At 34.8% G+C, this 17189-nt stretch overlaps 2 long non-coding RNA genes across 2 annotated transcripts in view; one reads left to right on the top strand and one right to left on the bottom strand.

The window, feature by feature from the left end:
- LINC01828 (long intergenic non-protein coding RNA 1828) overlaps positions 1-17189 on the bottom strand; it is a 202799-nt gene that overhangs the window by 145463 nt on the left and 40147 nt on the right. The gene's annotated exons all lie outside the window — the stretch shown is intronic.
- Positions 1-17189, top strand: part of LINC01829 (long intergenic non-protein coding RNA 1829) — a 91963-nt gene that overhangs the window by 71538 nt on the left and 3236 nt on the right. The window lies entirely within an intron of this gene.

The following is a 17189-nucleotide window of genomic DNA, read 5'->3' as shown; positions in this document are numbered from 1 at the left end:
ATATGTCCTACTATACCGGTACAACTTTATTTATATTATCTCTCACTGAGTGGAGAAATTAAGTTAATTTATTTTCTCAAAGTATTTCAGCAAGAATACTGAAACAGAAAGTGATTACTGTGAATTAGTAACAAAAATAACACAATTAACCACCACTCCTAATGACCAAAATGCTCCACCTTGGGTTAACTGCAATTTTACTTTATTTGGCTACTGAGAACCTGAAGGATTTTGTGGGCTAATTGCAGGTCTTGAAGTAACTAAAGAAATGAAAAAGACACACTGGAGTAAGTAGGTGCTCATGTAAGCTACTCATATCTCTTACCTCTTTCTTTCAGAAATACAGATGTGGTTATAGTATTGTATTACACCACTCATTATTTAATTCAGGGATAATTTACCTTATCAGGTTCTTCAGTGCTGGATTGTCTATAGGCAAAATTCCTGCTGCTTTTTATATGGGTAAGACAAACTACAGAGCTTAGGTGAGGTCTTAAACTTCATAACATAAATGAACAAACTATCTTTTAGATATTTACTGATACTATATGATAGGTTATTCAGATTCCTATTTAAGAGCATATTAACTTATTTTGTTTTTGAGTATATGTTCAGCTGAACTGACCAGTCACTAAGAGTTTTGCATGGAATGTATATTTACCACCACCACTTCCTATGCAATAAATAATTAGCCAAGTCTAGCCAATATGACCAATGTCGTCAAAAGGGTACCCAAATGCACTGAAATATTTGTCTACAGAATGATCTGCCATTCAAAGATCCTAAAGTTTCAGGCATGTTTGCTGACAGAATAGAACATAAAACTTTAAAAAAAGGCTGTTTTCTGTGATGTGTCAGCATAAACTCATTATTTTATTTCAAAAATTTTCCTGAATTTAATACTTATTAATTTTACACACGAGATTGGAATTGTATTCCTTGTCCCACCTGTGAGTATTTTTTAAACAGTAGCAGATAACAGCTCTTTCCAGATATAAAAGGGAAATTTTAAATGTACATTACTTTATTGTACTCCTTGATGTTTATCTTTCTCTAGTGCTTGCTGCTCCTGTGGTTGCTGATTATTCTTATTAAATACATAGATTTATGCTTAGGTGTTTTGGCAGTGTGAACAATGAGCAAAGGACTGATTTACCTTCAAATGATAATTTGTTATGAGTTGCACAGAACATTATATTCAAGCTAATTTTATATAAGCCCAAGCTTTTCAAATTTCTTGTAGTCCTAATATTCACTGTGTTTTTATCAGGAGAAAAGGAGAGTGCTAAAATGAAATTTCTTAAAATTGAAAATATGAGTCTTCCTAAGACCTTCTTCTTGGGAGAAAGATGCAGACATTACTCAAGCCAACAGATAATCTTCGTTTACAAATTGGATCAGGAAATGTCTGTCCCATTCCAAAAAGAAACACTTAAGAGATAGAAGGATGATTATGCAAAAATTCACATGAAACTTTTTTCTAAATGTTTGATTATGTGCCAGAGGAGAACAGCATTAGAAGGGTCAACTCAGCAACAGAGTAAGAACATTTACTTTTTACAGCAAACACCACATTTAAAAGCACATTCTACTCAGAGGGTCCAGTGCCTCCAACTCAAGTTAAAAGAGGTTGGCTTAAGAAAATGGTGGCTGCCTAAGTCTCTCTCTGTGTATACATGATCTTAAATAACAAACAAGATCAACAGGATCTTGCTTAATAAAACCACACAGGATCCATGCCTTCAGCATTACTACTAGAAATTGAGAATATCATAAACTTTATATTGCCTGGAAGTAGAGAAATACATACTACAATGCATCAGAGCTTCCTTTGCCTCTACAAGCCTTTGGTTGAAGAGAACAGGGAGGAGGGGAATCCTTTGTGACTACATATGAAAAAGTAGATAGGATTCAATGTCATCAACGAAGCATAGGCAAAATCTACCTCAGAAAGAGAAAGACCAATACTGAGCACAGACCTGGGCCTGAGTGGTTCACTGCATCATTTACAGAAAAGGGGCTTGAATGTGAGGAGGAGCAGAGGTTGAAGCCTAAAAGAAGTATTGTTTCTAGGAGATATAGACATAAAAGGTGTGACCCTTGAGATATGGCAGTGAAAAGAAAGAATGAAGTGGGAGAAAAATTAAGGATGCTGCTGAAACGACAGAGAACCTTAAGCAGCAATTTATAATGTACATATAACAGTTATGGATATTTTTGACTCAAATAAAAATAGAAACACTGATAGAAGGATATTTTAACGTTCCATTCTTCATGTAAAACACATCAACTGTATTAAAATATGAGTAAAGATGTAGCAGAACTAAACAAAATAAGTAAGGTAGATTTTTTGGAAATATATCAAACACTATGCCATAATAATTGAGAATGGGGATTCTTGTTAAGTGCATACAAAATATTTACAACCATTGATCATATAAGTTGCTCAGAAAATTTCATGAATTTCAAAATATTTTTAAAATTAACATTCCTGATTCAATGAAATAAAGCTAAAAATAAAACTAAAACCCATTCTGCTTGGAAATTTAAAAAAACCTTTACTCTTAAGTGAAAGAAGAAATACAAACAAAAATTAGAATACTAAAAAATAATGATATGAAATACTATACATTTGAATCTAAGTGATAAATTTAAAGCAGCTACCAGGAAACCATTTATAGTTTTAAACACCAATATCAGTAAAAACTTAAAAATAAAAATAAATGAATTCAATTTCCAACTTAAAAATCTAGAAAAAGAAAAACAAAGTAAACAGGAAGAAGCACAAGGAAAGAATCAATAAAAAGAAAACAAATTAATGAAGTAGAACATAGTAAAACAGTAGATCAATTTGATAAACCAAAGTCCTGTTTCTTTGAGAAAAAGTATTTGAAACACACACACAAGCCACTATTTAATCAAGAAATAAGGAGATAAAGCATAAATATACATAATAAGAAATTACAAGGAATAAATAACTATTGATTCAGAGTAAATATTTTTTAAAACTGTAAGAAATTACTTTTCACTCCACACAAGTAATTTGAAAATCTAGATGAAATGTATGATTTCCAAGCAAAATAGAGTTCACCAAAACAAACCTACTGAGAGATCTTTTAAAAGAAAGAAGTTGACAGGGAACCACTCTACAAAAATGACTATCCCCAAATAGTTCATAATTATTTCAAGTACTTAGTAATTAACTAGTTCAAATGCTATATAAAATGTCTGGAAGCATAAAAAATAAACTTAAACATTGAAATTCTTTATATGACGCTAGTATAACATTAATACATAGACTTGATATTAATAGAAAAAAAAAGAAAATTACAAACCAACACCACTCATCAACATTAAAACAAAGATTCTAAGTAAATATTAACAAATAGAAAAGTATCCAAAAAAAAGGTCATGACCAAGTGTTATTTGTATCAAGAATGTAAATTTTGATCATGGAAAATCTGAATATCAATCACCATTTTACTAAGTCTAAGGAAAAAAATTGTCTTTTTTCATAGAAGCTGAAAAAGCATTTGACAAATTCAATACCAATTCTTAATTTAAAAAGCCCTTGAAAAAGGATAAATGGCTACCTGATAAAAACATATGCTACAATTATAAAGCCAGCATGTTACTTAACAGGAAAGCAGAAGAATTTCCACTGAGATCAGGAAAAAGCCAATATGTCCACTGTGCCCATTACATTTCATGTTATTCTGAAATCATTAGTCATTGTAATTAGACAAGACTAAACAATTAGAGACACACAAATTGATAAAGAAGTGAAACAGTCTTTATTTGCTGATGAAGTGATAGTATATATACCTGCTGGAAAACCCTAAATAATCAATGGTAAAACTAACTTAAAGTAATTCATCACTGTAGCAGGCTATAAATTCACAGGCAAAAATCATTAGTCTTCATATATACCAATTGATGTGGTTTGGCTCTGTGTCCCCACCCAAATCTCATCTCGAATTGTAATCCCTATATTTGGAGGGAGTGCCTGGTGGGAGGTGATTAGATCATGGGGGAGGTTTCTCCCATGCTGTTCTCGTGATAGTGAAGGACTTCTCACAAGATCTGATGGTTTAAATGTGGCAGTTTACCCTGATCTCTCTCTCTCTCTTTCTTTCTCTCTCTCTCTCTCTCTCTCTCTCACCACCTTGTGAAGAGGGTACTTGTTTCTCCTTTCGCCATGACTATAAGTTTCCTGAGGCCTCCCTGGCCATGCAGAACTGTGAGTCTATTAAACCTCTTTCCTTTATAAATTACTCAGTCTCAGGCAGTTCTTCATAGCAGTGTGAAAACGGACTAATACACCAATAATAACTAGTTTTAGAAGATACAATGGAAGAATAAAAATCTAGTATGTTGTCAGCAACAACAATACAAATGCTAAAGCATAAACTTAACAAAATAATGTGAAAAACATTGAAGAAAATTATAAAACACACCTGAAAGACAGAAAAGTACACATTACAAATGGAAAGGACGTCTCAACATCAGTAAGATGTCACTTTCTCCCAATATATGAATTGAATGTGTTCTCAAACCAACAAGCTTTACTTCTAGAGCTAGAAAAATTGATGCTATTTTATGCAAAAAGTGATGATATAAAAATATTGAGGAAAATAATAAATATGAAAAGCTTTTTGAGGAAAGGGTAGGTGCTAGTCCTGACGAACATTAAAATGCATTACACAACCTCTATAATTGAAGCAGTGTGGTACTGATACCTGAATAGACAGATCAACAGACTAGAAGAGAACCACCAGACATAGACGCAAGTTCATACAGAAATTTACTATGTGATAAAGTGGTATCTCAAATCAGGAACAAAACTGGACTTTTTTCTTTATCTTTTACGCGTAGGCATTAATGATTACACTATTATTTGGAAAGCATTTATTTTATCATGAAGGAAATGGTAATGTCCGTATCAATATTTTAACTCTATCACTAATTTAATCCAAGACAAAAGCTCCTTGCAAACCATCAGAGATTGCTCTAAAGAGGCCAGGTGCTTCCTGAATACAAATGAGTGTTGTATTGAAACCAAGAATTTATTTAGAGAATAGGGATAAAATTATTAATAATTAACTACTTAAGACTTTCTCTTCTGGGGCAGCTATTGGGCCCAGTCTTTTGTTTCCGGTTGGGATAGTAATAGGGAAAGCCTGATGAAAGTCTAGGTTGGTTAACACATTTTGAATGTCAAACTCATATTTTTCCATAAGAAGGACCATTTTATTAAAAATAAGAAAACAAAAACTGGACATTTTGATAAATGATTTTGAGACAACTAGACACCCACTTGGAAAAAAAATTAAAAGTAGTAAACTAACTCCTGAAACCACAGAAAACAACGAACTCCAAATGAGTCAGAAATTTAAATGTAAAAATGTATAAATATTAGATTAAAGCATCAGTAAGTGCCTTTGTAACTTAGTTTTACGGTAAAGCTTTTGAACTATCATTCAAAAATGAGAAGCAATAAAAGACTGACACATTTTGCTACATAAAAATAATCAAACCATTTGCAAGTAATGGCCTAAACACAAATGGCAAATTCAGAAACAATATTCACAAGATATCTTGAAGTGCTGATGTTTTAACAGGCAGGGAACTTTTTAATATGAAGGAAAAAAGGCTATGTTCAAAATGAGCAAAGTATCTACACAGATATTTTTTAAATGTGAAAATGACCCTCAAATCTACTAAAAGTTGTTCATTTATAAAAGAGAAATTCAAGTTTAAGTATATTGAATACTATTAAATTTAAATTTACATTAAAATATACTAAATATTAGGTCTCACTGGTTAGATAGGCAAAAACACAAAAGATTAACAATATACTGTTGACACACCTGTTGGAAAATGGACATTCTCTTTCATTGTTGGCTGCAATCCAAAACATGACTCTTTTAAAAGGGAATCTGACAATATCTAACAAAACTACAAAGTCATTTGGCCCATAAATTCCACTTCTAGCAATTTAGACTAAAGATACACCTCTAACAAGTATCACTTGTAATTAGAAACTATTGGCAATTACTAAATTGCCTGAGCAAGGAAGATTGAATAAATTATGGAACATACACATGGTAAAGTACTATCTAACTGTAAAAAGGAATGAGGAAAATTTCTATGAACTGATAGAAACTGATTTTCGATACTTATTATTAAGAGGAGAAGACCAAAGTGCAAAGAAGTATCTACAGCATGCTACCCTTTATGGGAGAAAGGAGAAATAAGAAAACATGATTATTTTTATATTAAAAAAGGATAAACCAGAAACTTCTAAAACTAATTTTTTATGGAAATGAGTTCATGTTGGAATTTATAGGGAAGAGGGTAATTTTTTCCTAAGTACAGTGTTTTTGTGTAATTTTGACTTTTGTAATGACATAAATACTCTGGAGATTCAAAAAATAAAACTAACAAGGCTAGGGGTTGGGGGAAAACCTAAAACTCAATGCAAAGATAAACAAAAGAATTCAACTTATTTCAAACAGAATAGCTATACTTAAAGAAAAAAAATACAAGTGACTTTTGAATGCAGTTTTGACTATGTATCCTTAGTCTTCAAAGAAAGAAAAAAAAACTGCAGACAAATCTTTACCTCTTGGTAATAGGGATGTTTGTTGCAGTGGTATCTTAACCAAGGAATCAAAATTAACATCATTAGTAAAGGGCACACGGACATCATGTTCCTTCTGATATAATAATCTGGTATGAAAGCATTGCTTATGTAGTATGTCTGCTAAAATACATAACCTGAACATAATAAGGAAATAGCAAAAAAAAAATTATGAGAATTCTTATAAAACATCAGCCTGTGTTTCTTCAATGATTTCAAAGATGTGAAATACAAAGTAAGTCTGATGAACTGTTACAGATTAAAGGATACTAAAGAGATCTTGGATTGCATCTTGTACTGGGGGAAAATTGTTATAAAGGACATTACTAAAACAATTTATTTGAAATATACAGTGTAGAGTAGATAATAGCATTAAATCAGTGTTAAATTTTCTGAATTTAAAACTTGTTTCTAGGAATAAACACTAAAGTGTTAGGGGTCAGAAGATACATTGTATGCAGCTACACCTATGCTGTTCAGAAAAAATATGTAAATATCTATAGAAAGAATGATAAAGCAATGTTGTAAAGTGTTAACTTGGAATCTGGGTAAAGAATATTCAGAAGTTTCTTCTACTGTTCTTACAATTTTTCTGTGAGTTCGAAATTATTTTGGAAAAATAGTTCAAAAAAGAAGCATAGAAAATTGTGTTTGGTACTACCTTCTAAGGAAGTACTTTTTATGGTATCATTACAAGTGGTTAATATTAATACTGACTGGATGAGGAGAAGTATAAACTTTTCAAGATCATCAAGAAAAAATGCCTCTTCTGTAATACAGGTGTTTTAAAACAATGGATTTCTACATGATCCTTTATCCTCTTCCCAGCTTAGTACTGTTTCCTGTAAAATGGGATTGTGCACAGTTCACCTATCAGTTATGCTGAGGTATTCTTTTGTAAATTTCCATATGTATAACATTAAGTTGTTAAATAATTTGAAAGGTATATTAAAAATTATATATCTAGAAATCTCTCCACTTGCAATTTAAAAAGCAAAAGATATTCTCTTAGAAAACCTTGAAAATATAGAAAAACATATAAAAAGGAAAGGAAAAATTATTGTGATAATCTAATGAAGAAGAGAGTTAAAAGGTTTTGAGCTTTCTTGGATGAAGGATCAAAATCATTTGCAAAAAAAAACGGAAGGGAGAACAAGAGTAAATGAAAATGTTGATTTATTGATGAAAATAAATCCACTGCATTCTCAAAATAGTAAATTTGCATTGGAATTCACTAAATTTTCCTTCCAGAAAGTGATCTCTCTTATAAAGAATGAAAAACAATTTGCTGATATTCAGTCTCATTAGGTAGACAAATCGATAACTACATAAAGCCTGAGTAGCTTGTTGGCACAAACTTGCATGACCTTATTTTCACTTAAATGTATCAAGATTTGTCCTGGCATTTAAGAAGAAACACTTTTAAGTTGTCAACCAAAAAATCTATACAAACAGGTGAATAATTGAATTATTCACTTTTTATGCATATAGTGGTAGAAGGGTGGGGGAGAAAAGAAAAAAGAGGGAAGAAAATAGACTAGAATTTTCCAGGGAACCTTCAAAGCTGAAGAAGACTGCGACTGAGAAAAAAACACAGCACTATGTAAAGATCTAAAATGTGCCTCATCTTAAATCAGGCCTCCAGCCAATTGTGGATTTAAGTGTGGGACAGCCAGGCCACTTTCTGGTGAGTTCCTTTCCTGTCAGAATTTCTCCCTAGTGTTCATGCTTTTAATGCCATGAGCAGAATTGGAGGGGGACGGGCCTTTCCTGCCCAGGGCCTCCTAAGTGGTACATCTGTCACGGATCATGTTATAGAATAGGAATGTTTGTTTTTGCTCCTATTCATTTCAACTGGCAGGCAGTTATTATTAGAATGAAAAATTAAGCTATTATGCCACAGAAGTCTTGCTGGCTCTATCAAACTTATGGAGTTAATACAGCAAAATTATCTTTTATAGCTGATAAAAACAGCTGTATATAGGCTGCTGGCCTGTTGTTACACAGGAAGAAACACAAAATGGCAGCCAACGTGGGATGCCCCACGCCAAGATGGAGGCATCAGTGGCCATTGCTTTTGGAGCAACATGTGGACACAGATGTCGTAAGCAATAATGGTCTATTCTGAGAGAGGGTTTTATTTTTATTAGTCTTCCTGTAGGACGGAAACAAAATTATACCTTCAAGTTTTCTAAAAGTAACTCTATATGCCTTAAGTAGCATTATTATTTATAGTCTTGCCTTTTTTCTGTTATTTAGTGAATGTTTCGATTAACATTTCCGAGATAAAAATATTCATGTAGCAATTAGAGCTCTTCAGAAACCAATGAATTGCAACTATGGCCACTTCCTATTTATAAACCACTCTTCTAATATCTTTAGGAGCTGCTCATCTCTTGTAAAAGATTTGAATCATAAAAAATGCAAAGCACAATAAGTACTGATGTGGTGCTTTTCATTCCAAGAGCATTGTAGTGATAACTCATTCAGGCCACCTCTGTAAAGATCACATTAATGGTGGTACCCACTAAACCAGAACAGCATTGCATCCCTGGGGTGGTGGGGGGAAGGTTAGGTCTCCAGGGCATGCTTGACTGAACTAGCACATTAACACCTGGGCATTTTTCAAACCAAATTCTTGAATCTTTTCTTACCATGTGTAGAAATACCCAAAATGTCAACAAGAATAATATTTTAATCCTATCCTAAAGACTTATGTTACAAGTGTCATAGATTCTCCTAATACCCATGTGTGTTTATACATAAATACACATATATGAATATATATATACACACATATATATGTATGATGATTTTTATTTGTTGTGTTTGTTGATTTTTTGGGATGTTTTATTTTCTTTCTAGGAGTCATAACAATGATCTTATTTTAACATAGCTTCCCTTGTTTGACAGAAACTTGCTTAGACTTTGGAAAGAGGATCTAATTTCTAATTTTGTCGAGTTGGTGTATATTAATGGCAATTTTTGATCTTACTATTGATGTTAGAATTAAAGGGTAGATACATTAATGCAATTACTAAGACTAGATCCTGATGTAATATCTAACTGGTCTACCATTTTTTCTTCTTAAAGGTGTAGTAGGTTTGTCTAAAAATAACATTCTTGAGGTGCAGACTCATGGGGAAGTGGAGAAGTTGTTTTGTTTTGCTTTTTTTTTTTTTTCTTCAAAGATAAAACTTACCAGAGGAAATGAAGCAAATGCACTGGTATTAGTGGCAGTGAAAAGACCTTTTAATAAGAGTAATAGGTATCAGTTATGAAGGTTTTTTATGTGGCATGCTCCATTCTTCACATTCCACACATACTGATTTATTTCATGCCCATTTCACAGATAAGGAAACTAAGGCATTTGTTAAATGAATTGCTTGAGGTCTTACAAATATTAAGCGACCAATCAGAATTCACATTCAAGCAGCCTGGCTCTAGAGACCTCATCCCTACACATCACATGAAATTGCTCTCCCACCACTAGGGAATGTTTGTAATTACAAACAACTTCTCCATTCAGTGTGGAAAAACATTATGGAATAAGTAGAAATTGGAGAGTCATTTGTGTGACTTCCGAAATTTTTACTTAGCCTAGGAAATTTCAATTAAGTGTTGTAATTTTGGTTTTAGAAAGTTGATATTTTTAAAACTGACATAACATTACTCATAAATAGGTAATTATTTTATTTGAAATGATGCATGATTTGATTAAATCTAACTTCTTTTTCATTGAGTATTGATTACCATGAATGAGAAAAATATCTCAACAAGATATTTACATAAAATAAGAATGGCATGTTCACACTACATGATGATAGTAATAAACAATAGATCTATTAATTTGTTTTAAGTAAAATATAGAAGCAGTTAAAATGAAAGTGGCATAACTATATTTAACATTGTGTGTGCTCCTGAAATGTGATCATGCTAAAAACTATGAAAATATATAATCTGGAATAGACATGGTTTCTGTTTTCTAAGCAACTAATATGTACATACATAGATATAGAGACTGCATGTCAACATAAATTGAAAATTAGGTCAATACCGAAAACAAAAACAACAAATTCAAGAACTTAAATTTATATAAAAATAGGTTGGAAGACCTGGAGAATAGGAGAAAATTGCTGCAATCTATCCATCTGACAAAGGGCTAATATCCAGAATCTACAAGGAACTTAAACAAATTTACAAGAAAAAAACAACCCCATCAAAAAGTGGGTAAAGTATATGAACAGACACTTCCCAAAAGAAGACATTTATGCAGCCAACAAACATATGAAAAAAAAGCTCATCATCACTAGTCACTAGAGAAATGCAAATCAAAACCACAATGAGATAACATCTCACACCAGTGAGAATAGCGATCATTAAAAGTCAGGAAACAACAGATGCTGGAGAGGATGTGGAGAAATAGGAATGCTTTTACACTGTTGGTGGCAGTATAAATTAGTTCAACCATTGTGGAAGACAGTGTGCCAATTACTCAAGGATGTAGAACCAGAAATACCATTTGACCCAGCAATCCCATTACTGGGTATATACCCAAAGGATGATAAATCATTCTACTACAAAGACACATGCACACGAATGCTTTTTGCAGCACTATTTACAATAGCAAAGTCTTGGAACCAACCCAGATGCCCACCAATGATGACTGGCTAAAGAAAATGTGGCACATATACACCATGGAATACTATGCAGCCATAAAAAAAGAATGAGTTCATGCCCTTTGCAGGGACATGGATGAAGCTGGAAACCATCATTCTCAGCAAACTAACACAGGAACAGAAAACCAAACACCACATGTTCTCACTCATAAGTAGGAGTTGAACAATGAGAACACATGGACCCAGGGAGGGAAACATCACACACCGGGGCCTGTTGGGGGGTGGGGGGAAAGGGGAGGGAGAACATTAGGACAAAAACCTAGTGCATGCGGGGCTTAAAACCTAAATGGCAGGTTGATAGGTGCAGGAAACTACCATGACACATGTATACCTATGTAACAAACCTGCATGTTCAGCACATGTATCCCGGAACTTTAAGTAAAATTTAAAAAAAATTATAAATAGACCAGGCACGGTGGCTCACGCCTGTAATCCCAGCACTTTGGGAGGCCAAGGCGGGCGGATCACGAGGTCAGGAGATCGAGACCATCCTGGCTAACACGGTGAAACCCCGTCTCTACTAAAAATACAAAAAGTTAGCCGGGCCTGGTGGTGGGTGCCTGTAGTCCCAGCTACTCAGGAGGCTGAGGCAGGAGAATGGCGTGAACCCAGGAGACGGAGCTTGCAGTGAGGCAAGACTGGGCCACTGCACTGCAGCCTGGGTGACAGAGCAAGACTCCGTCTCAAAAAATAAATAAATAAATAATAAATAAATAAATAAATAAATAAATAGAAGGGAAGGCTTACTCTCAGATACACACACACAAAATAGGTTGGAAGAAGTACCAAAACTTAAGCACTAAAGGGTATATTGTACAAAATGGTTCTGTCTTCAAAGACAAAAATCAACTCTCTGACTTTAGTTTGAAAGGCAATTCAATTTAGTTTAAAAAGCCAAACTTTATTTATAAGCTTCCAACACTAAGACTTGGTGCAACCAAATTTTCTACTTGCCAACTTTATTTTGCATTTATTCTGTATATATTCATAAGTGTATATATATATGCATATCTGTGCATAGGCATGTGTACACAGAGCCACTGTTGTGGTCGGGACATTCATACCATCCAGTAATCTTGGCTAATACCCAGCATTAACGGAAAGTGATTTAAGCAAATGGGGGCTAACATGAGAAAAGATCGTGCTTATAGGGAAATTTTAACACAGCTCTTTGGTTGCTCTATGGAAATGTGTGGCTTTGTTTCCATGCAGACTGTACTGAAAGATCCCATATTGTCAGCAGCACTTGTATATACTTTGGAAGTTTTGTCCAAGTTTCATAAATCTTGTCATATATCAAGTTATTCTAAATATGGCCAAAGTAAATAATCTGCAGCCAGAAGAGTGAAAGGTCATTTGTGCCCTAATTGCAGAACAATGTCCTCTCTCAGTCAATGCCACGGCTCTCCTTTCATTAATCAGGCCTTTGGTGAGTAACATCTATTCATGTTAGAGTTTTCTCTGAACAAGTTTCAGAATATAAACCAGTCTGGAATTGAGATATTTAATTGTTTGGGTGATAGTCAAAAAACTCTCATGTAGCTTTTTTTTCTTTTTTAATAATTGTAATATTGAGAAACAAGATAAACTTAAGAGGAACGTCAATCTCAGCAATTTGGAAACACTCATAAATCCTCTCACCCCTGTTACCCCTGGCTAAACATGATTCAGCTTCATTCTCTAGTTTGATGTTCTCCCCCACCCTCCATTTTCAGCTATTAATCTCATTGAGCTTCTCTGTCTTGACATTAAACTACTCAAAATTTAACAAAACATTACTCAGACTCCAGAGACACGGATTCTTCATGCTTTTGTGTGAAAGCTGCTTTTATCTAGACATTCCTTTACAAGCATGTAAAACCAAGATAGAACTGTGACCTCCTGTTGGATAGCTTTAGGGGTCTGATATTCAGCAGTTCTTGTAGGGCTTCCATCCAAACACTGGTTTGGCGTTTCAACTTTACCTCCTTCTTGTACCTGAGATATAATTAGTGTTACCTACATCTCAGGTAGGGTACTTGCCTTTTTCTCTGATGGCAGCCACCTTCTTATTACCCCCATCCAGTAATTTGTCTGAGGGCAGAACCTGTGTCTCCCTTTTGCTATTTTCTGTTTCATTAATTCCCAAGGAGAGCATATGCACTGTCTTACTGTGTTTAAACAAAATTCACTTAAGTGATAAGATACTGAGAGTAAAGACTGATGCAAAGGGTTGTCCTACTCTTGGCAAAGCAAACAAACAGATAAGCAAAAAACTAGACCTGAGGTTCTATACGTAGCCATCCATCCATCCATCCATTCATCCAATAGGTATTAGGTGCCTACCATGCATCAGTACTGATACAATGATGACTAGGACAGAATCCCTGTTTTCCTAGGGCTTATATTCCAGTGGGGAATGACAGGTAGTACATATATACAAATAACATAGTTTCTATTACTGAGAACCACAGACAAACTAACAAGAGCATTGCCATGGAGAGAAAGGTTCTGGAGAGTAGGAGTTTAATATTAAATAGAATGCCTGGGAAGTCCACCCTGAGAACATGATATTTGAGTTGAATCATAAGAAACAGCTAGCTGTAGGAGGGCAAGGGGACATTGTAGTCAGAGCGGGCATCTGGTGCAAAGGCATGGAATCAGGAAATCGTTTGGAGTATCAGAGAAAATGGTCTAAAAGCCATATAGTCTTTGGAGTGGCCAGTTTGGGCTTTTTATTAGTTGGGACCTTTGGAGGGGAACCTGTGGGCATATGTGTGTTTTGAAAGAGACACCTGCATCCTTTGACCTCTAGCTCTGAATCTTAGAGTGGTCATGGCTCAGTGGAGCCAGGTGCCTGCACATTGGATTTTTCTGATTATTTCCCCTGCATCTCACTCAGGAACTGATCATCAAGAAAACTAAAATCAAAATTGAACATCTCCAAGATACAATCTAATCTATGAGTTAGAAGTAAATGGCTCATTTGTCTCACAGAGCGAAAGACCAATATAAATGATGGGGAAAAATCGACCTGGTTTCCTGGGAACTGTTTTGTTCCAATCTTTTCCATTCCATTTCATCCTATCCCATCCCTTTCCCCAATTCTCTGCCCTTGAATAATGTCTTTTTGTTGCAACTTGCTGCCTTATTTCTAATTAAATGCTGCTTTTAATTTTAAACAGTTTCTACTGATATGAAATGGTTGAATTCATAAAATTAAGTTTATTATTTTCTGTTGGGGTCTCTGACACGCCTAGATTTGTTCCTTAATTTGGGAATACATGAACTACACCTATTGACTCAATCTTTGATAGAAATTGATGAAATATTGTGACTTTAAAAAAAATTATCATTGCTTCCTTCATCCTGTTGTTGGGGGCGTCTCCAGAATGTTGGATCCTAGGCTACAGAGAGAGGGGTGAACATAGTGTGATCCCACCTTCGCAGCTCCCACAGTGTATGGGGAACAAAAACAAAGAAAGTAGCAGAAAGAGGCAGAAGTGAGGTCCTAGGGCAACCAAGAGTCAATTCATTTGCTCTGGAAAAAGGCCAAGGCAAGTCAGGAAGAAGTTGGAGAGTGGCTAGAGTTAGGCACGTAGTCTCCAGCTCCCCTGACATTGCCAGTTCGGCTCACTACAAGGAGGGCAGCAGCAGATCCAATCTCACCTCTCCAGCTTCTGGGAAGAAGACACTACTCTCTCAGGTATTTACCTTAAATCTTAATCAGTCACATAATTGCTGCTCCAGCTTTCTTGAACCATTGAGTGAGCTATGGCTGCAGTTGCTGAATTATTATTTTCAACAGAACCAGTCACAATGCTTTATAATTTCATTGTCCTTCAACATGAAGCCTAGTTCCAGATTATGACGCAAATTCATATTGCAAGTTTTATTATCTTTGCTCTCTCACTAATCAGTCAAGGTCAGGTGAGGAAAGATTCTCAAGATTTAGTTGATGTCTGTGATGGCAACTAAAACATAGGTGCTGGAAAATGAAGAGGCAATTACAGACAAGGTTTCTACAGGCCCAAGGTGGAGAAAATGCCAGGAGTTTATATTTAAATCCTTCTCACTCAATACCTGTTTTCACCTGAGGCATGAGAGAAGATTTCATCTGGTTAATGTAGACCGTGGTAATAATCTAAATATCACAGTGTTAATACTTTTGAACCAAGAGAATGAAGATAATGATATCAACACATTTGGGGCCTGTAGCTTTGCTACCTCCCCCTCCTTCACACACAAACAGATGAAAAAAAAGTTATTTTTAAAGCGTTTTTCTTCCCAAATATTTTATTACATTCAATATATTAGTAGCTAGTACAAGTAGTGAATAACAAAACCTGTTTGGTTTTTGTTGGTGGTAGTTTTTTTTTTTTTTTTTTAGACAGAGTTTCGCTCTCGTCGCCCAGGCTGGAGTGCAATGATGCGATCTCGGTTCACTGCAACTTCAGTCTCCCAGGATTCAAATGATTCTCCTGCCTCAGCCTCCCAAGTACCTGGGATTACAGGCGTGCACCACCACACCCAGCTAATTTTATATTTTTTAGTAGAGAGGGGGTTTAGGCTGGAGTGCAACGGTGCGATCTCGGCTCACTGCAACCTCTGTCTTCTGGGATTCAAATGATTCTCCTGCCTCAGCCTCCCAAGTACCTGGGATTATAGGTGTGCACCAGCACACCCAGCTAATTTTGTACTTTTAGTACAGATGGGATTTCACTATGCTGGTCAGGTTGGTCTTGAACTCCTGACCTCAAGTGATCCACCGACCTCGGCCTCCCAAAGTGCTGGGATTACAGGCATGAGCCATTGTGCCTGGCCAACCAAACCTGTTTTTGTGTATAGATGCAGCCACAGAAAGTAAACATCACAGAATATTTGTAAATAAAATAGTAGGCTAAAAAATATATTTGCAGTATCTGTCTTTTTACTCAGGAATTCTAGTTAGTTACAAGAATGTACCCCTCAACAAGGGGAATTGGGAGTATGTGGAATAGATTTAGCTATAAGTGCACTTATAGAAACACTATCAACAATAGGAAAAAATGAAAATCTAAATGTTCAGTAAAAGGGGATTGGCTAATTAATTTCCATATGGCCACAAAATGGGAAACTATGAAATAATTGTAATAATTTACCATGGAAAGATATTCATGATCTATATTGAAAGAAAAACCAAGCAGACTGAGGAAAAGTATGTATAGATTGAACTATATTGAACTATGTCTTTGTAGGTCAAAAATGATTGGATATCTGTAATTTATTACCAAACTAAGGTATCATCTCATTTTTGTAAATAGTAAAAACAAAACATCTGTGTGAATATATGTGCTTGTGTGTACAGTCTCTGAAAATATATTTGCCAAGGTTTGCAGTGGTTGTCTTCAAGATAATAGGTTTAAAAAGCCTATTAAGAAGTTTATTAATAGTAGCAGTTATTATTATTTTCATTATTATTGTAATCTCTTTTTACTCATCCATATTTTCAGGCTTTTCTTTAAGAAGAATATAGTCTTTTATAATGAGGAATACAAAATACACTTCATTTTGTAAAAAAGAAATGAGCAATTTGATCCACAAACTTGTGTGGATGTTATTTCATTCAGTGGTGAAAGCTCCTTTGGCTATTGTCTTTATTCAGCCTTGATTCCTCTTCTTTTTACTGTAGTGAAAGACCATTTCTCTTATCCTAGAATAGACATTCTAAAGAATAGCCAGCAAAATGTGAGCAAAAAAGAAAAGAGTGCATGCTTTGTTCCCCATTAACTGACCGACAACTAACCAGAGCATTCTCTGTTCCCATGCAAAAGATGTCTACATCAGAAATTTAGTGAACACACACACACACACACACACACACACTAGCACCTACGTACATCAGTTAA

The sequence above is a fragment of the Homo sapiens genome, chromosome 2, assembly GCF_000001405.40.
Source record: "Homo sapiens chromosome 2, GRCh38.p14 Primary Assembly".
NCBI classification, from domain to species: domain Eukaryota; kingdom Metazoa; phylum Chordata; class Mammalia; order Primates; family Hominidae; genus Homo; species Homo sapiens.
Note: the sequence above shows the minus strand (reverse complement) of the source record. Positions and strands in the feature narration are given on the sequence as shown.